The sequence below is a fragment of the Homo sapiens genome, chromosome 5, assembly GCF_000001405.40.
Source record: "Homo sapiens chromosome 5, GRCh38.p14 Primary Assembly".
Taxonomy (NCBI): Eukaryota; Metazoa; Chordata; class Mammalia; order Primates; family Hominidae; genus Homo; species Homo sapiens.
The window spans coordinates 3,124,624-3,144,410 of NC_000005.10; the positions used below are offsets into that span (position 1 = coordinate 3,124,624).

The 19,787-nt window shown below is 46.3% G+C and overlaps 3 annotated features.

Moving 5' to 3' along the window:
- Positions 2,416 to 2,613: a silencer, noted in NCBI's record as "fragment chr5:3127153-3127350 (GRCh37/hg19 assembly coordinates)". NCBI's record gives its function as "represses an EF-1alpha promoter that drives an FKBP-Casp9 reporter gene in an ReSE screen in K562 erythroleukemia cells {active_cell/tissue: K562}" and the evidence as "EXISTENCE:reporter gene assay evidence [ECO:0000049][PMID:32094911]".
- Positions 8,583 to 9,083: an enhancer, noted in NCBI's record as "H3K4me1 hESC enhancer chr5:3133320-3133820 (GRCh37/hg19 assembly coordinates)". NCBI's record gives its function as "activates a minimal SCP1, AML or CMV promoter by ChIP-STARR-seq in naive H9 embryonic stem cells {active_cell/tissue: H9 hESC(naive)}" and the evidence as "EXISTENCE:reporter gene assay evidence [ECO:0000049][PMID:30033119]".
- Positions 9,084 to 9,584: an enhancer, noted in NCBI's record as "H3K4me1 hESC enhancer chr5:3133821-3134321 (GRCh37/hg19 assembly coordinates)". NCBI's record gives its function as "activates a minimal SCP1, AML or CMV promoter by ChIP-STARR-seq in naive H9 embryonic stem cells {active_cell/tissue: H9 hESC(naive)}" and the evidence as "EXISTENCE:reporter gene assay evidence [ECO:0000049][PMID:30033119]".

Here is a 19,787-nt window from a genome sequence, read left to right on the forward strand (position 1 = left end):
ACACTGGACACTGCAGCCATCTTCCTGCATGTCCTTGAGTCCAGTCTGCCTTGTGGACACCTGCTGGGAGCAATCGTCAGAGGGAATGCAGCACCTCTTCCTTAAACAAAAGAAGCAGCAGCCTTGAGTGTGCAGTAGTGGATCCTTTACCTTAGGTCGTAGAGAGGCAAGTCATTTCTTTCCTGCAGGACCCTGGTCTTGGGGGTAGATGCACAACACGCTTTAAATCCGGATCTTTCCTTGCCTGAACAATGAGTGTTCCCGGTGGAACCCACTTTGGGAAACACTGGGGTAAGGCTTTCTTCATCCATCAATGAGCCGGTCTTTCCCTTTTGCTATTTAGTTGGTTTCATTTGCATTTTTTAATTAATTTATTTCAAAAATTAAAGAAAGAAATTTGCACAATCATTAAAATAGATCATGAAAGTCTTCCTTGCCAACTCCCTCTTCACCCAGAGACAGTCTCTCTTTAACAATTTCTTTTCAAAGAAACAATGTATCCATATCCCTCCTGCAGGCACCTGAGTCTTCTATGAAGTCAATGGAATCATGCAGAAACTTCTCTATGTGGTAATGTTTAATCACCTATAATTGGGAGATTGTTCCTCTGCCTCCCACAGGGTCCTTGTCTTTCCCGTGGCTCCCAGGCTTCCAGGCCCACACCTTAATTTATTCAGCAACTCCCCTCAATGGCCATTTTAGTCGGTTCTGATTTTTTAAAACTTCATTGTGCATTTCCTCATACTTACTGCTTTTGGATGACTTTAGGGAGCATTTCTGATAGTAAAATTATACCATCAGCAAGTTGGTAGAATTAAGTTTTGTTAGCTGTTAACCCAATTCTCCCCAGGTAGCTTATGAAATTTACATGCCCCCAGTCATGTAGGACAGGGCCTGGATTTCTAGACTGTGGTTGGCAATAGGGTTTTAAAAGTTTTGTTGCTGTTGTTGTTGTTTGTTTCTTTTTGTTGTTGTTGCTGTTTTCAAATGGAAAAGTGGGTACCTATGTGTTATTTTGATCTGCAATATTTAATTATGAACTAAATTGTATAGTAGAGCCTCTTAGTTATATTCTTACTGATATTTTTGTGCTTCTTTTCTGTGAACTCTGAGTTCACATCTTTTGTTCTTTTCTAGTACATTCTATATTTTCTTATTAATTTTTAAAAATTTTTTAATTTCCACAAAACATCTCTTTGTCCATGGTACTGTTAAATTGGTAAAATACTGTTAATAGTGTGGATTTGGGGGTGTAAATTAAGTAAGCCAGTGTGTAGAACGTTGCCCAGCCCAGTCCTCAGCTTTGCACTGGTGAGTTTTGACAATGGGAGTGGTTTGACACAATGGGAGTTCTTTTTTTTTTTTTTTTTTTTTTTTTGAGATGGAATGTAGCTCTGTTGCCCAGGCTAGAATGCAGTGGTGTGATCTTGGCTCACTGGAACATCTGCCTTCCGAGTTCAAGTGATTCTCCGGCCTCACCCTCCTGAGTAGCTGGGATTACAGGTGCCTGCCACCATAGCCAGCTAATTTTTGTAATTTTAGTAGAGATGGGGTTTCCACATGTTGACCAGGATGGTCTCGAACACCTGACCTTGTGATCTGCCCGCCTTGGCCTCCCAAAGTGCTGGGATTACAAGCTGAGTCACCGCTCCTGGCCTGACAATGGGAGTTCTTTTGGTTACGGATTCCTCTCCATCTTCACCAAACAACATCTGGATTGGGTATTATTTTTTGGATGTCTTACCCTCCATGACACAATACATCGATTCAGTTATGGACACTTTGAATCTGCTCAGAGATGTACATGGGCTACATTCTTTTTCTGAGACTGATGATTGCCTTGAAACATGCCACTGAAATGCTCCTATCCTGTAACAATCAGTCCAAAGATGCATTGAGCGAGTGAGTTTAATATTTCCTGGTAGAAAGACGTGAGAAAGGCAAAATTAGACAAATGTTTTCTGTCCTTTAGTTTAACAAAATGGGCAAAGGGCACCTGTTCTACTTTCAACACGGAGCTCAGCAGTGGTGCCTCACTGCATTAGCCTAACTGCATCAGGCTGTTAGGGGGCCCCTCAGGAGAGCTCGGCTGTCTCCAAACTCCCCGAGAAAGGCCCCGTCTCCCCCCAGCCAGCTGGACAGATGAGTGACGAAGCCAGATCATGGGACCCACGTCCTCCTACATCAGTGGCCTTCAGCTGGGAATGACTCTGCCGCCTGTGACATTTGACAATGCCCGGACACAGTGTCGGTCCTAACACCCGGGGAGGGAAGCGTGCCAGCTAGTGGGGAGAGGCCAGGGGTGCTGTTAAGTGCCCAACAAAGCACAGGGCAGCCCCCAACAAAAAAGTTTCCTGACCCCAGATGTCAGTAGGGCTGAAGTTGATAAATGGTGTCCTGGAGGAGACCTTGCCTTGGGACAAAGAGAAGGTGAGACTCCACCCTCAACCAGCCCCTGCTGCTTCTGCTGCCATCAGACTTCAGGCCTCATCTCCGGGGGTTTCTCAGCCAGGTCCTGCTGTCACAGGCTTTCCTGCCGCTGTCCCCAGCTCTAGGGCTGAACGCACTAGCGGTGCACTGTGCCACCACCGCCTCCTGGCACTTCTCAGATCACCCCATTTGATCTTCCCAGAACCAAATGAGGCACATCAGGATTACTCCTCAATATTAATGAATTATGCCGACTAACAATTCTCCTAAGGATGTGAATGCCTCAGACAGGCATCGTGTTTGTCTCCCTTAGGTATTAAAATGGGTTTAAATCTTTTAATTACATTTTAAATATTAATATTTTAAACATATGTGTAAATATGCATTAAGACTCTCAAATAGAAAACTTTCAGAACAACAGGGACTGGAGTTGGGTTCTGCGAATGTCAACAGTGCAGGGATCACCCTGCCTGCCCTCTCTGCAGTGCTGGGTGGCGCAGGGCGTATGCCCTGCAGGGCTGGGAGAGACTGATTCCATCAGCTCAGCATGAACCTTACCTTCTTGCTGACTTGCAAGACACACAACCAGCCTGGCCCCAGACTTGGTGGCTCTGAGAGCTGGATCTGGTGCTGAATTTGGAGCGGAGCCGGAAAGGGGCTGCAACCCTGGATTTATCAGGCAAGAGCCCCCAGGGAGGACTCCTTGCCCTTTTGACTCAAGGACTTTCTTAAATGTGGCTCCCAAGGTCCAGGCAGTCTGAACGCAAGACAGCAAGCGTGTCTTGGTAAGAAAAGGGGCAGAGCCGCATCCCATATTGTGCTTCTCCGTTTTTTGAGTGCCATTCTATAGAAGGAAGGCCTGTGACCAAGGGGTAAAAATAGTTCCTGCCACTCAGCAACAAGGACCCAGCCACTGGTAGCAGATGGGGCAACAATCACTGAGACTTTCTCCCTGATGTTTTGCTAATAAAGCACCTCCTGCTCCTGAGTTTGAAGAAAAACGTGTCCTGATTCTTCACGTGACTTTTTTGTTTATGAAATGTTGAAGCGTCACAATGGACAGAGGGTGCCGCTTATCAACAAATCAGCCCGCTGGGTGTCACGACCACCCATGCACCACGAGCAGTTTGGCTTCTGAGCCGCGGGGAGAGAGCTCCCAGCACCACCGAGGGCACTTTTGGTGGGGACGTTCAGTCGTTTTCCATAGATCTACCACTACAAGAGCAAGGCCAGTGATTTGGCAAGTTGGTGTCCTGTTTATTTCGGAAACTCTGGATTATCTACATGTAGAGCAAGAACAGACTAAAAATAGCAGAAGAAGAGGACGCAATGAAAGGATGCGTGATTCAGAGAAGCAACGTAAGACAGAGGAACGCGGACAAAGGACACCAGTGAAACAAATAAATGGTGCTCCTTTAATTCAGGTGTCAACTCTGCAGGGCAAAATCCAGGAGACAGTGTCTCAGCCACACCCAGGTCCCTGGGAAAGTGACAAATCACCCTTAGCTTATGCTACAGACAAAGACAGTATGTATGGCAAAACCTTTAGAAATAGTTCTATTGAAATAGACACAAATTTAAAAATGGTAGTTTCGGAGAACAAATTGTAGGTAGGTAGAACACACACTCATTCAGGAGACTGTATTTATCAGGCAGAGTGAAGGGATGAGGGGAGGCAGCCCGAGTTGGTGGGAAACCATGTGAACTGTGCCCGTGATGGAGGCCCCTCATGTGCATGGGGGCTGCCCCTAGGAGGGAGGATGGACCTTGTCGACAGGTGTGACAGAAAGCCATTGAGTAAAACCTCAGCTGTGGAAGAGACAATTTCTGTTTAAAAGGACACCTGCCGGCCGGGCGCGGTGGCTCACGCCTGTAATCCCAGGACTTTGGGAGGCCGAGGCGGGCAGATCACAAGGGCAGGAGATCGAGACTATCCTGGCTAACACGGTGAAACCCCGTCTCTACTAAAAATACAAAAAATTAGCCGGGCGTAGTGGTGGGCGCCTGTAATCCCAGCTACTCGGGAGGCTGAGGCAGGAGAATGGCGTGAACCCGGGAGGCGGAGCTTGCAGTGAGCGGAGATCGCGCCACTGCACTCCAGCCTGGGCGACAGAGCAAGACTCCGTCTCAAAAAAAAAAAAAAAAAAAAAAAAAAAGGGACACCTGCCAACCTTCCTTTGGACACCCAGTGGGTGCCAAGAAGATGGAGGGAACACCCATATGCATCTTCCTTTTCTAAGATATTCCCATTGGGCTTTCTTATTCTTACATGAGCAGCTGCACTGTGTTGAGTAAGTTATTCTGGAGGAGTAAAGAAGTGAAAACCTGACATGGCAGAAAATGCGTTGGTGGAGACGGAGAGGCAGAAGAGAAGTTTCTATGGTGCCTTGAAGAATGGTCTTGGTGACATGCTCAAGAATGCAGGTGCCAGTCACATGACTCAGTGTTTCAAACAGTTCTATGCATAACTATTCTTGTGCTGCCTTTATCTTTTTCGCAAATACTTATTTAGACCGATGTCTCATAAATTAAGGAATAAGAGCAAATCAGCCATTGATACACCTTTATGAAATTTGGTAATAAGTTAATATAGAAGCAACAAAAACTTATTTTAAAAATTATATCTATTTAAAATAAATTATAATTCAAAAGATTAGCCCTTGAATTAGAACTCGATACATTCTTTCCTTCTTTCTGTCTTTTTTTTTTTTTTTTTTCTGAGACAGGGTCTCACTCTGTCACCCAGGCTGGAGTCCAGTGGTGCAATCTCAGATCACTGAAACCTCGGCCTCCCAGGCTCAAGCAATTATCTCACCTCAGCCTCCTGAGTTGCTCAGACTACAGGTGCACACCAGCATGCCCAGATAAATTTTTGTATTTTTTTATAGAGTCGGGGTTTTGCCATGTTGCCCAGGCTGGTCTCAAACTCCTGAGCTCAAGTGATCCTTCTGCGTTGACCTGCCAAAGTGCTGGGATTACAGGCGTGTGAACCACTGCACCTGGCCAGATACTTCCGTTCAAAAATACGCGTCAGAATGAGAGATTTTGTTGCTGTTATCCTCACAAAGTGAGGTATCAAAACTACGAATTGAACTAGCTTGTGTGGATGATATGAGACACAAAACGCCAACATAAAATAATTACGAGACATTTTGATTTTTGAGGGGCCAAGCAAAGTCTCTTTGTATAACTATGTGTGTTGGTTATTATGGTATATTGATAGACATAATTGGTTTTATTTGTTCATATGTTTGTTTGTTTTTGGTTACAGTCTTCCACATTCATCCATCGTACAGCCTTGTTGGAGATATTTCCTGACGTTGATAAGAACGTTAAACCTCACGTTGTGAGGTGATTTAAACTTTCTGAAGGAGGATGAACACTTCCATCTGGATTAGATATTGGAGTCTGCACTGTGGCCATTTATTTCCTGAGATGGATGTGGATAGCAGTCTAAACAGGGGCTTTAAATCACGGCCAAAGAGCAGCCTGGTTTGCTGACAGCTGCTTTGGGGGCCCGTGGTCACTGCCCTCATATTTGCTGTTGATACACTCTACAGTTTTCCCCAAATCACTTAATTGCTTTTAGTTGCACTTTGTCGCTCTCTAAATAGTGACATTGTGCACAGCTTCGTGACTTCAGAGACTTAGAGGAAGGGGACTTGGAAGCATTTGTCGTTGGCCATTGTGGAGTATAAGGTCCCAATGCACAGAAGTTTCAAAAGGGCTTTAGGAAACTGATAAATTAGGTACACACATGCACACACACACACACATGCTAACAAACTGGGAAAACTCTTGTTTGTACTTTTAAAATATTAGTGATGGAGTTAGTCAGTGCCTGAATCTGTCACTTTCAATAATTCACATAACAGACATTGATTGTGCGCTGGAAAGTATGTTACATGTTACGGAGGCACAGTGCTCAGTGCCTACTCAGGGCATTGTGGTGCTCTTGGTCTTCATGGGGAAGGAGAGTGTGATGTCTAGTTTTGTATGTCGACTTGGCTTGGCTGTGGTTCTCAGTTGCTTGGTCAAACACCAGACTGGAGGTTGCTATGGAAGGTCTTTGTAGATGTGATTCTCATTTACCTCAATTGACTGGAGGTAAAGCAGATTGTCTCCATCATGTAGGTGGGTCTCATCCAACCAGTTGAAGGTCTTAAGAGGGAAGACTGAGGTTTCCTTGAGAAGAAGAAATTCCACGTCAAGACTGCAGCACAGGAAGCCCGCCTGGCTCCCCTGCCTGCCAGCGGGTGGAGTTGAGACTTGATACTGCAGCGTCAGCTCTTACCGAGCTTCCAGCGTGATGACAGCCCTTTCGGGTCTGTAATTTGTGAGCCAATTCCCAGCTCTATGTCCATGTGTGTGCATGCGTGTGTGTGTGTATGTGTGTGTGTGTGTAGAGAGAGTGTATCTATGTGCTTCTCTGGAGCACCCAGACTAACACTGAGTGTAATCAAGACATTATAGCCATATAATTGATGGTAAAATAAAATTGGCAATTAGAGAGTATGCAAGCCCTGAAGAAGATGGGAAGACTCACAGTGAGCTTCCCTGTTAGGTGAGCCATTGGTTGAGAGCAGGACTTGCCATACTGGCCAGCCAGCGGAGACAATTCAGGCAAAGAAAAGAGACTGTGCAATGGAGCAGACACAAAAACGCCAGCTGTTCTCGGGCAGTGGGAGCGTTTGGGGAGTGGCAGATGCAAGGCTGGTAGGTGTACTGGGGGAAAACCAAGGGTCTGGGAAGTCTTTCAGTCAACGGGAGGGAGTGTCATTATCAGATCTACACAAAAACAAACAGACAACAAACCTTGGCTGCAGGGCAGAGAAGCCCAGAGCCAGGCTGCACTTTTTGGGGGTGTGGACAACTTTGAATTTCGAGGAAAGTGAGGGCTTTCTCCCCTAAGAATCTGTTCACACACATGCGTGTTATAAGTCTCTGGTTCCAAGGAGTTCCAATGCCCTGGAGCCCATGGGGAAGGATCCAGCCTGGCCTCTGGCTTGCTGTGCTGCACAGCTGGTGTTGCAGACAGCAAGGACTGAAAAGCCACCGTGGCCTGCTTACCTGTTAGGCACTGAAACCGTTGCACTGTTAGGTTTAGCAACTGGCCCGGAAATTGGGATTCCAGAACCAAGATGTTAGGTGCTGTGGATGCATTTAATCAGACCCAATACAGATGCTGCAATTCGCTGTGGCCCCCATCAAAGTCAACAGCAGCAGAGAGGCTGTGGTCCTGGGCCCTCAAACCCGGCAGAGTCAGACCAATGAGCTTGGATTTGCTTCCATGACTCCTGGCACTGCGATAGGTTCTGTATCTGATGCGTTGTCTGCATGGCTGACCAAAGGAGGCCAATTCTTTCTAGCTGTTACACCAAGATCACCTCACCTCACTGAGAAAGACCTCAGTCCCAAAGTAGAGAGGTCGGTTAAAAGGTTGCATTAAATTACCTTTTTGGACGTGGAGGCAGTGACAGTGACCTGCAGGTGGTGTGCACGCTCCAGAGTGCCTGTGGCTTTTACCAGGTGGGACCTTCTCTCCAGGCGGTTTCTCTTCAACAGAATGAATATTCACGGAGGTTCTCCAAAGGGCAAGAAGGTGTTCTGGGAGCAGCATGACATTGCAAAGATGCAAAGTCTCATTTTTGCCCTGACAAAGGTGCAATGGAAAACAACTTTCATCCATAATGGCCTCAGTTTCCCTTTACTCTCTCATTCAGCCAACCTGCAAGGCATCGTCAGAATAACTTTTCCTATTTCCTAACCCCCATATCACTCATAACTCCATTCTGAGAAGTTTTTCGAAACTGTTCTCCATCTCAATGAAGCTGGAATCCCAGGTCCAGGCTTACCTGGTGGTGCTCAGAGGTCAACTGAGAAGGTGCAGGGTTTACAGGGGAGTCGTAACCTGGGGCAGGTAAACAGTTTGCATCTGGGCTGACTGTAGAGTGACCTGAGAGTCCCAAGTGCACCTGTGCCTCATCCTGATGGCACCGTTGCTGGTTGTAATCTGGCCAGCAATGAACTTGGAATGCTCAGTGAATCACATTGTATAAAAACAGGAAGCTTCTGCGCTTTTCGATTGCATATTGGATGTGAGAGCCCCCATCCTATGGCAACCCTTGCAAGCAGAAGATGTTAGTGTGAAGGAAATATTAAAATTTCTGTGACTCAGCTGTCAGATGCTTGGAGATCCCGATGTTATTACTGGACATTGGGTGTTGTTACTGTTAAACCGTCACATACTGAATCATTCTGCTAGCAGCCTACTCCCAACGCCGAACACGTCCCCTCATCCAACGGGATATCAAAAGCAGCCCTGAGAAAGAAACTCAAGGTGCGGTGTACTCTGCACAAGTCTCCAGTTCCCTCCGTTGAGGTTTTCTTGGCTCTCATGTCACAAGATTTCGGATGATTCTTAAGCCCATGGAAGTCGGTAATCATGAGACAAAACTGGGTTTCCTATTGTTTGATGAGTGGCAGAGTCTAGCTTACATTTGGGCTGACTGTGGAGTGATGGAAGCTCTGTTCTCTGTGTGTTGACTTTGGGGCAGTTCCCGTAGGCCTAGTGGGAAGGCCGCGTGGCAGCTTGGCTGGCCTGGGGTGCAGCGAGCAATAGCTCCCACGGTTGGCCAGGAGGGGTTTGTGCTGCCTTCTTGTTGGATGGTGTCCTCTTCCCTCTTATGTCAGCAGAGGCACTGGGTCAGAAAAAGGCAGCACCGGCGGCACGAGCTTGTTCACAAGAGGGTTGGGGAACATCACAGCACACACAGCTCTGTGGAAGGGAAGCTCACATTCAGGGTCCTCTGCATCCCGCTCCTGTGCTTCTCGTCATCAAAGCATCCTTCACAACCGGCTTGACTCCCCTTCTGCCCTCTGCAGCAAGCCTGGCCCTGGGCTCTTGGCTCTCCCAAACACTTCTCTGTTTTGTTTTGTTTTTCCCCTTGGGTGAGATAGAATGGCCCCCTTCCCCTGGGGTGGGGGTGGGGGTGGTGGTTAGGCTCTGATAAAATCCCAGCGGGCTAGGCGCTGATAAAATAGTTTTGTTTGAGGTCTGGCCTTTTCATGACAGAGTATTTTGGGCATATTTTAAGATGGTTCCTTTTTCCCTCCCCCTGCTGGGAGTCCCAGGGGTTTTTCTCTAATCTTATTTTTCTCTCATGAGTTTGGGGACCCCTAGGAATAAGCCCCCCTGAGACTGATCTCTAAGGCTTGTCCACATTGAATCTCTGGCAGCTTATCAAGGAGGATTAAGTCTTCCTACCCTGCGCTGGTTCCAGTCTCCACTTCTGCTCATGGGTTCGTGCTCCCACAGGCTGTGACGCTGTGTGTCTGCCTGTCTGTCTCTCCACTTTTGAAAGCAGCAATTTGCCTGTGACCTCACTTCTCTGAGGGACCCAGGAGTTGCTGATTTCTAGTTTGTATAGGTTTTTATCTGAGTGCATGGGAGTGAGGATGTCCAACATCTTTTCCTGCTGGACCAGAGGCTGGAAATGTCCTGCCTTTCTTAAATGTCTCTAAAATCTTGTTCTCAGGGGAGGATACAAAGGTCATTCATTCACTCCTTCTGCCTGTCTGTGCACATTTTCTGGGCTCACACTGGTTTTTAGGCCTAGAGCACACAGGAGGGTGCCGTGTGGTCTTGCTCTTGTCCTGGTTAAGAAGGCCAGGACAGACATAAAACCAAGTCCAGTGCAATGTTGTGTGACGATTTAGAAGGAAGGTTCTGTGTGGAAGAGAAGACCATGACCTGTATTAATAACCAAGCAAACACCAACTGAACAACAGAAGACAGATGCATAAGTGCATGTTTACGGGGGGTGCAGTTCTCTCCTGGGGTGGATTTTCAAGGGAAATAAGTTAACAGGGACGATGGTTTGAGGGTGAGATAGGAGGGGACTCTTTTCCGAGACTTGTAAAGTGCCTTCAGATATGTGACCTCCTGGGGCCGTGTTTCAGGAATCCTTTTTGGAAGTGAGTCACCTCCATGTGCAAAAAATAGCAGTAGAAAATGTTTTGTCGGCAGCACAGCCTGAGTTTTGGGTATTTGTGGCCTCTTTACGCAGAAATCAAAATACATCCATGTTTCTTGCCTTTTCTGCTAAAAACTGAGAAGGGTGTATTTTCAAAATAAGGATAGGCCTCTTAGAATGGGCATCCTTGCTGGGTGCAGGTTCTTTGAATGGTAAGGCCAGAGTCTCTTAAGTGCATGGCTGGTCCCTTTACTGTTGGTTTAATTTACAGTCGGCCTCTTAAGTTTCCAAATCTCCATTTAATTGACATTTTCGGGTTACCAAGATTGTGCTTTGTGTTCTTGTCAACTTTTCTTAAGTTTTTTGCCATCATGGCTATGTAGCCACTTTAAAAAGTCCTTTTGGTTATTTTGAGTCACTCATAAGCAGATATAATGGGAACTACAATACATGCCATTAGGCTACTATTTAGTACTTCTTATATGTTCGCACTTTCTTAATTACATTAAATAATTCTAGCCTGTACACACTTTAGTTTAATTAAAACAAGACTGTTTCCTTACATCTAACTTTCACCTCATGGTACAAGAAGGGAGCTGAAAGACCAGTTGACATTAATGGTACCATCATGCCTCTACACAGCCAAGCTTGCTTGAGAAACCCAATAATGGCTGATCACAGGGACTTCCCTGCTGGCTGTTGGTCCAGAATGGACCACAGTTGTGTGTTTGCATGTTGGGAACCTGCTTTCATGGCTCCTCTGACCCACGGGAGGTGAGCTTGTGAGAGTGTGATCACAGGCAACTCAAGTGGGACCGGTGCCTCGGCCTCACCATTTTGCTATGATGGTATTTCCCTTCAATTATGCTGCTAATTGTGTACGTATCATACATATCTTCTGTATTATGTATAATACACATTATGTCTGTTATGTATAGTAGACATATAATGTTGCCTCTAAGGGCCATCTTCTTTGCATGTCATTGGATAAGTTGGTGATATATTTACATAAACCATCAACTTATCCAATGATATGCAAAGAAGATGGCACTTCAAAGCAAAATTACATGTCTATTATACATGGACGACTTCAGAAATAATATAAAAAATTACCAACAGGATCTACTATGAGATGATCAATTTTTTCTCAAGTCTAATTTTTTAAATATATTTTAGCTTTTCTTATTGGCCTTTTAGTCAAAATATGGCATTGGCTCATCAGACATTAACCTTCTATTTACTTTTCTTGAGGTATTTTTAAAAAGTATTTGTGTAACTTTTAGAAAAAAGTTAATTTTTAAGATTACAAAGTGCATCCCATCAGGATATTAATAACCTGCAGGGCCACCATACTGGCCTCACTGAGTTAGCTAGTGCTCAGTTAAACTAATCGTCGATGCATTCCAGGATACTAGTACAGTCACATGTCACTTAAACATAGGTATAGGTTCCAAGAAATGTGTGGTTCAGTGAGTTCGTCATTGTTCGAACATTGTAGAGTGTGGTTACACAAACCTAGACAGTACAGCCTACGCCAAACCTAGGCTATGTGGCATAGCCTATTGCTCCTGGGCTACAAACCTGTACAGGATGAGACTGTGCTCAATACTGCAGGCAACTGTAACACAAAGGCAAGTATTTGTGTCTCTAAATAGGACTAAACAGGGCCGGGCACGGTGGCTCACCCCTGTAATCCCAGCACTTTGGGAGGCCAAGGCGGGTGGATCACCTAAGGTCAGGAGTTCAAGACCAGCCTGACTAACATGGTGAAACCCCATCTCTACTAAAAAAAAAAAAAAAAAAAAAAAAAATTAGCTCGGAGTGGTGGCGGGTGCCTGTAATTTCATAATCTCAGCTACTCAGGAGACTGAGGTGGGATAATCGCTTGAACCCGGGAGGCGGAGGTTGCAGTGAGCCGAGATCGCGCCATTGCACTCCAGCCTGGGCAACAAGAGTGAAACTCCGTCTCAAAATAATAAAAATAAAAATAAATAGGTCTAAACATAGAAAAGCTTTGGTAAAAATAGACAAAGATTAAAAAATGGTGCCCCTGTATAGGGCACTTGCCATGAATGGAGCTTTCAGGACTAGAACTTGCTCTGAGTGAGTCAATGAGTATGGAGTGAAGGTGAAGGTCCAGGACATTCCTGTACATTACACTGGACACTTAGGCTACACTGCATTTATAAAAAGAAATAAAGTGACTGCGTTACAACCTTACGATGGCCACATCACTAGGTGATAGAAGTTTTTCAGCTCTTCTCTAATCTTACGGGAACATTGTGGCATATATGGTGGGTGTTATGGGGTGTATGACAATAATGACAACAAGGTGGCAAGCTGGGGACACCATGTGCCCTGTGAGCATCCAGTAAGCGGTGCTAGTTCCAACTGTCATTAGTTGGGCCGGGCACCATGGCTCATGCCTGTAATCCAAGGCAGAGGCAGGAAGATCACTTGAACCCAGGAGTTTGAAACCAGCCTGGGCAACACAGAATCTTTCTCTATAAAAAAAAAAAATTAAATTAGCTGGGCATAGTATTGCATGCCTGTAGTCCCAGCTATTCTGGAGGATGAGGTGGGAGAATCACTGGATCCCGGGAGTTCGAGGCTGCAGGGAGCTGTGATCACACCAGTGCTCTCAAGCCTGGATGACACAGCAAGACTCTGTCTGAATGAATAAACAAACAAACAAACAAATGCAATTGCAACCAAACTTCTAAAATGCAACTTACATTGTGTTAAAAAAAGGTACAGAACAGAGCCTACAAGCTATAGCCATGAGACTTTTAATAATGCATTTATATTTGTGTTTTTAAAGTCTATTTAATGCAGCAGAAATCTGGTCAGTGGTTACTGGGGTGAGGGCAGGGCGTGGCTGAAATGGGGCACAAAGAACTTTTTAGGGGATGGGAATGTTCTATATTTTAGTTGCGGTGGTGATTACTGCAGTGTATAAATTTGCCCAAGCTGTGTTCTTAACAATTTTTGTTAACATAATTTGCGTATAACATTTTGCTTTGTTATATGCAAATTATGTCTCAATGATGTTGACTTTTTAGGAATCTCAATATATCATTGACTTTCAAGGCTTGCTGAAAGTAGTTTTAGAAAAGACTTCCAAAACCCTCCAAAACTGAGCATAATTGAAACCCGTGTAAGGGAAAGCTTTATTTAGAATTGAGGAGCCTGTCAATGAGGTCTGGGCAGTTACACAAATGACATTTAGCATTTTCTGCACTGGCTGCCCCAAAACCAGACAAGCCCCAGCCCCAGCCCCAAGGAAGAAAAGAATTGCAGAAAGTGAACTATGATGAGACTATCTTCTGCCAAGCCTGCAAAGACCTACATTGAAGGGACCCCACAGATGTCAGAAAAATGTATCTCCCTCCTCAGATGCAGAAAACCAGCTCGTAAGGAGATGAGTCCTAGGAGGGGGACCTGTTATGAGGCTAAGGCCGGCAGCCGTGGGGCACTCGGTGGGGAGGGCAGCAGCCCCCACAGAGGCGGATGTGAGGCTCTGGGAAGTGGAGTTATTGAATTCAGTGCAGCAAAACAGCTCTTTGCGGTTCCCACAGGTACTGCCTCTGTTCAAGTCCTCCCTACGCTGTAGGCCAAGAGAAGCAAGGCCCCTTCATCCTTGGGCTTAGGCTTCTGTTTCAAAGCTGCTTTTCTGACATTGACACCCAGCACCAGTTCAATCCCTCCCTGGCTCCAGTCCTACTTAACCTTGATTGATCCCTAAACCAACCACGTTCCCCAATCCACACATCACTTAAGTCAGCTCTGTCTATTCATCTCACACCGGCTAAGAGCTCAAGGCCCTGAAGGATCTTTAGGTGTTTGTGGTGATCCACACACTCGAAGGAGCAGTGCATCGAGACAGCTCAAGCATCCTCCATCAGGTATATCTAGAAGGATGGAGAAGGCGCTGCCTCCTCCCACCCAAGCTTGCAAGGAAGCAGGATGAACCCTGGACCACACCACCCTCTTCCTCCACGGACTTCATTGTAACAGGCCAGGGCAAATCCTTCCAGAACTTGGAGCAACATCAGGTTTTAGAAGCTTTCCTGTGTAGACCCATATTTTGTTTGAAACTAACATCAAAGAGCTTTCTGACCGAACATACTGAGTTCATTTCTAAGTCTTTTCTGTCATCCTGTTTGGCTGTTAGCTCCTTGCAGACAGGATCCTATGATTTTGCTCACCACAAAACCTCATGATTTTGTCCCTAAAACATTATGCACACATAGTAGGTACTCAATAATTATCTGTTACATGAATAAATTGCATATACACACACACACACACACACACATCTCTGTTAATTAAACTGCAGTCTGTAGATAGTATCTTTGTAACAGGTTCAATCCTTAGGGCATCATTTTTCCATACCTTGATTATTGACTCATATAACTCAGATCTGCTGTTATGACATCCAGATGGAATTTCTCTGCTGAAGGCTTATGTTGAAGTCGCCCTCAGAAACCAGGAGTCTACCCGGAAGGCCAACTTCAGTGGATAATGTGTGTGGGCTGCCAGCTTTTCCAGTGTGATACTAGTGGGGGCAGGCTTCCAAGCCACATATGGGTAAGTGTTTTCCTGTGTCTTCCTGCTCCGTGGTCTTCCTCCAGATTCCCAGCCTGTGCAACTCCCTGTTGATTGAGGTCCTCATCCTCACGGTCACAGGCTTGCTCTCTGTGACTCTGTTGACCAGAGGGAGGTGCTGTGGTTTCCACAGACCCACCCTGTGATAGGTATTCTCAGAGCCAAGACAACCAGTTCTGCGTGAGTCTGTCTGTGCCTGAGTCAGTGTGCTGAGATCCACATTTAAAATAGTAGGCCAGGCGCAGTGACTCATACCTGCAATTCCAGAACTGTGGGAGGCTGAGGCAGGAAGATTGCTTGAGGTCAGGATTTTGAGATCAGCCTGGAAAACATAGTGAGACCTCATCTCTACTCAAAACAGAAAATTAGCCAGGCATGGTGGTGCACACTTGTGCTTCCAGCTACTCAGGAGGCTGAGGCAGGAGGATCACTTGAGGCCCGGAGTTCGAGGCTGCAGTGAGCTGTGATTGAGCCACTGCACTCCAGCCTGGCCAAAAGAGTGAGACCAAGTCTCAAAAAAAAAAAAGTAAAATGCACACTGTCTGGGTGACAACCACTCTGTTGAATGCAGTTTGGCAAGTCCTCTGTAGACTGCAGGAATATCTTTTATTCCAGAAACCTGTGGGTGGACGCCTGAGAGGGGACACTGTGAGCACATGCAGCTCACGATTTCAGAAGCATGGACTTCCGAGAGCTCGCAGTCCCAGCGACTCAGGAGCCCGCACGTGTCTGCATGTGGGACTCACACCTCCTGCCCTCTCCATGGCCCAAGTGACCATCTTCTCAGGCTTGAACTGAACAGGTTTCTAACTGGACTAGACAGGTTTTTTCTCCAGGTCCAGACCAGGGGCAGAGGGGAATTCCAGAATGGGACTCTGAGCATTTCTTTCCTTTGCCTAAAACCCTCTCATATGGGTCTCTACTGCCCTTGGAGAAAATCCAGAATTCTCTCTTGGTCTTCAAGCGGTGCTGCGTGATCCGGCCTTTGCTCAACTCTCTGGCCCCATCTCCCATCCCTCCCCGCTTAACTGATGGTTTACTGTGGGGGCCTCGCTCTGGGATGCACCCGGGCCAAGGTCCCTCCTGCCTTGGGGCCTTGCACATGCTCTCCTCCCTCCCTGGAGGGGCCACCGCTTCCCCACCTCACCCAGGGAGGCTTTCTCATTCTTCAGGTCTCAGTTTGGATATCAGTTGTCCCAGACCAGGGGAAATCCCCTCTTCCTATGGCCTTCACTGAAACGCTTTGCAGCATTTCACTTCATTCACTGTTTCCGTGATTGCTTCACTTCTGTCTTTCCTGTGTAGACTCCACAGCAAGCGCCCTTTGTCTCAAGCCCAGGGATAAGAATGAGCTGGCTTAGAATCTATCGAATGAAAGTCTATGATACCTCGGCCAGGTGCGGTGGCTCACGCCTGTAATTCCAGCACTTTGGGAGGCCGAGGTGGGCAGATCACGAGGTCAGGAGATCCAGACCCTCCTGGCTAACACGGTGAAACCCCGTCTCTACTAAAAGTACAAAAAAAAAAAAAAATTACCCAGGCGTGGTGGTGGGCGCCTGTAGTCCCAGCTACTCGGGAGGCTGAGGCAGGAGAATGGTGTGAACCCGGGAGGCGGAGCTTTCAGTGACCCGAGATCGCACCACTGCACTCCAGCCTTGGCGACTGAGCGAGACTCCGTCTCAAAAAAAAAAAAAAAAAAAGAAAGTTTATGACACGTCATTTGCAAGACTTAAAATCTGGCTAGCCTGTTAGAACATTTTCAGAAGTTCTAATGAGTGCTTTGCAACTGTTTAAGAATGTTATCATGTTTCCGGAAAGGAAATATTTAAAGCTTTGCTATAATAGGTGGTTGAATGCAAAGAAAAAGACATCATAGTCAGTCTCCTTGTGCTAAAAACTAAAATCTCTCCCTGTTCCTTTAGAGCTGATCTCTCCATCTCAGCCGCTCTTGACACTGGGGCTGCGTTGTCTTTGTCCTGGGGCTGTCCTGTTGGGTTGTAGGCTGTTTGGTGCCATTGCTGTCCTCTCTCATGAGAAGCCAGCAGCACTGGTGTGCAGTAGGCAATAAAAAATGTCTGGAAGGACATGGCAGTGGTCCCTGAAAGGCAACATGGGCCTAGGATGAGAACCCCTGACATGAGATTTTAACCATAAGCAGCCAGCTTCAGGCTGTAAGCATGAGATCCCTCCCACCTGCGCGACATTTGCTCATCCTCGAGTGCCCACACAGGCTTCATACGTACTTTAAAGTGCCATCCTTTTGGGCTTTTTCTGCAATAGACTCCAACTAAATATTAGGGCTTTAGACTTCCTTTTTCTTTTGCACTGGCCTTTCTGAATGCTGCTAAATCTATCCAGTGTGGAAGCTCAGCTCCTGAGTGAGCCGTAAATATTCCCCGATGCAGTTAGCATTGTTTTACCTGGAATGACACATTATCTCCATGTTAGAGATGCTACTGTGGCTCAGGGTCTCAAGGACCCTGAAACTCTTCTGTCATTCCTGTTTTCACTCTAATTTCTCAAAATGACTTTTTGAACATTGGGGAATACTTCACGTGTTTGGAAAGGAAGGCATTTGAGGAGATACTTTAAAATAATAAAAGGGAGGAGTTGGAAAGGAGACGCAGTGACCGTCTGGGTAGGCCCTAGGTGGGGGCCGTGTCAGGGCCGCTTGATGAATGGAGGCTCCAGGGGCCCCCTATTTGTTCAGTGCTCTTGTTCTGATACAACTGCGCACAAAACCGGCATTGAAGTGTCTGCCATGAAAACATAACATCACCTGACAACGGTCAGCCCACAGGGCATTGCCTTGAGAAGGCCATATTGTTCTGCGGGGCCGGGGCCCTGGCCCACGGGGTCCTGAGACGTGAAGTCGAGCGAGGCATGCGGAAGACTTTCCAGTACATTAGAAAGGACCTGGCCGCCTCCCATCAATACTGCCCCAGCCCGAGCCTGACAGATGAGAAAACACGGAGAAAGCTCTCCTCTGACTTCCAAGTCCTCCTTTCTCTCCTTAAAACCCAGAGAACTGTGGCCCAGAGCCGAGCGGACTCACAGCCGTGGGTCTGAAAATCCTTGGGGTGGACGGCTGTGGCTGCCTCATTTTAGTGTCTGCCTGTGGCTGGGCATTTTACATTTCCACTTTTCCCGGGTTTGAGACTAATCACGACCCCCACCCGGAATGTTTACCTTGCAAACCACAAGCCATTAAGCGTTCAGGGCCACACCCAGGCCACCAAAGCCTCAACCACCTTCTGCTAATGGTTTTAAAGTGCTCCTTCCACTCCTAAAGAGAAAGAATATTTCACGTCAATGCTCATACTTAATTAATTTACATTTTATTTTAAATACAAATAGGAAAATCAACATTAAATTATCACATAAAACAGCCATGAAAGGAATTTTTTGTGTGGATAAATAACGCACAAAGACCTTCATGGATTTTTAGCACATTTTACTCTACAAACATCTTGTGTTTGGGATTATAGTTGGATTGTTTGAATATACCACGAGTTCATTTTCCGCCACTTTTAACACCAATTCCACCCCTCAATGTTCTTATTAATGACCCTTTTGCTTTTATTATTATTTATTTTAAATTTTACATTGTTGTGCAACTATCACCATCGTTCCTCTGCACGTTTTTTTTTCTTGCAAAACTGAAACCTTTGCCCAATAAACAATGATTTTCCATTCCGTTTCTCTTCACCCGCTGGAAACCACCATTCTGTTTTCTGTCACTATGAATTTGACCACCTTCGGCACCTTAAATAGGTGGAATCTTACAACATGCGTCCTTCCGTGACCAGCTTATTTTACGTGGCATCATGTCTTCAAGGTGCAAACATGTTGTAGCGTGTGTCAGAATTGTCTTCATTTCTGCGACTGAGTAATGTTCCATATGGAGACGCCTCCTTTGGTTTATCCATTCATCCATCCATGAACAGTTGGGCTGCTTCCCCGTCTTGGCTATGGTGAATCATGCTGCTACGAGCATGGGTGTACGAATATCTCTCTGAGACCTTGCTTTCAGTTTCTTTAGATATTTACCCAGAAGTGAAATCGCTGGGGCATATGGAATTCTGTGTTGTTTCTCTTTTTTTTCAGATAGGTTCCCACTGTCGACCAGGCTGGAGTGCAGTGGCACAAACTCAGCTCACCGCAGCCTCAATCTCTCAGGCTCAAGCAATCCTCCCACCTCAGCCTCTTGAGTAGCTGGAACCTACATGGAACAGCCATTTGCCACCATGTTTGGCTAATTTTATTTATTTATTCTTTAAGACAGAGTCTCACACTCACCCAGGCTGGAGTGCAGTGGTACGATCTCAGCTCACTGCAACCTCCGCCTCCTGGGCTCAAGCGATTCTCTTGCTTCAGCCTCCCGAGTAGCTGGGATTACAGGCACCCACCACTGCACCCAGCTAATTTTTGTATTTTTAGCAGAGATGGGACTTCAACATGTTGGCTAGGCTGCTCTCGAACTCCTGACCTCACTTGATCTGGCCTCCTCTGCTTCCCAAAGTGCTGGGATTACAGGCATGAGCCACCATGCCCAGACTAATTTTTTATTATGTGTAGAGACAGGGTCTCACTGTTGACCTGGCTTGTCTCGAACTCCTGGGCTCAAGTGATCCTTTCACCTCAGCCTCCTAAAGTGCTGAGATTACAGGCATGAGCCACTGCACCCAGCCGTAATTCTGTTTTTAATTTTTGGGAATCACCGTATTGTTTTTCTCTGTGGCTGCATTATTTTACGTTCTCACCACAGTGCAC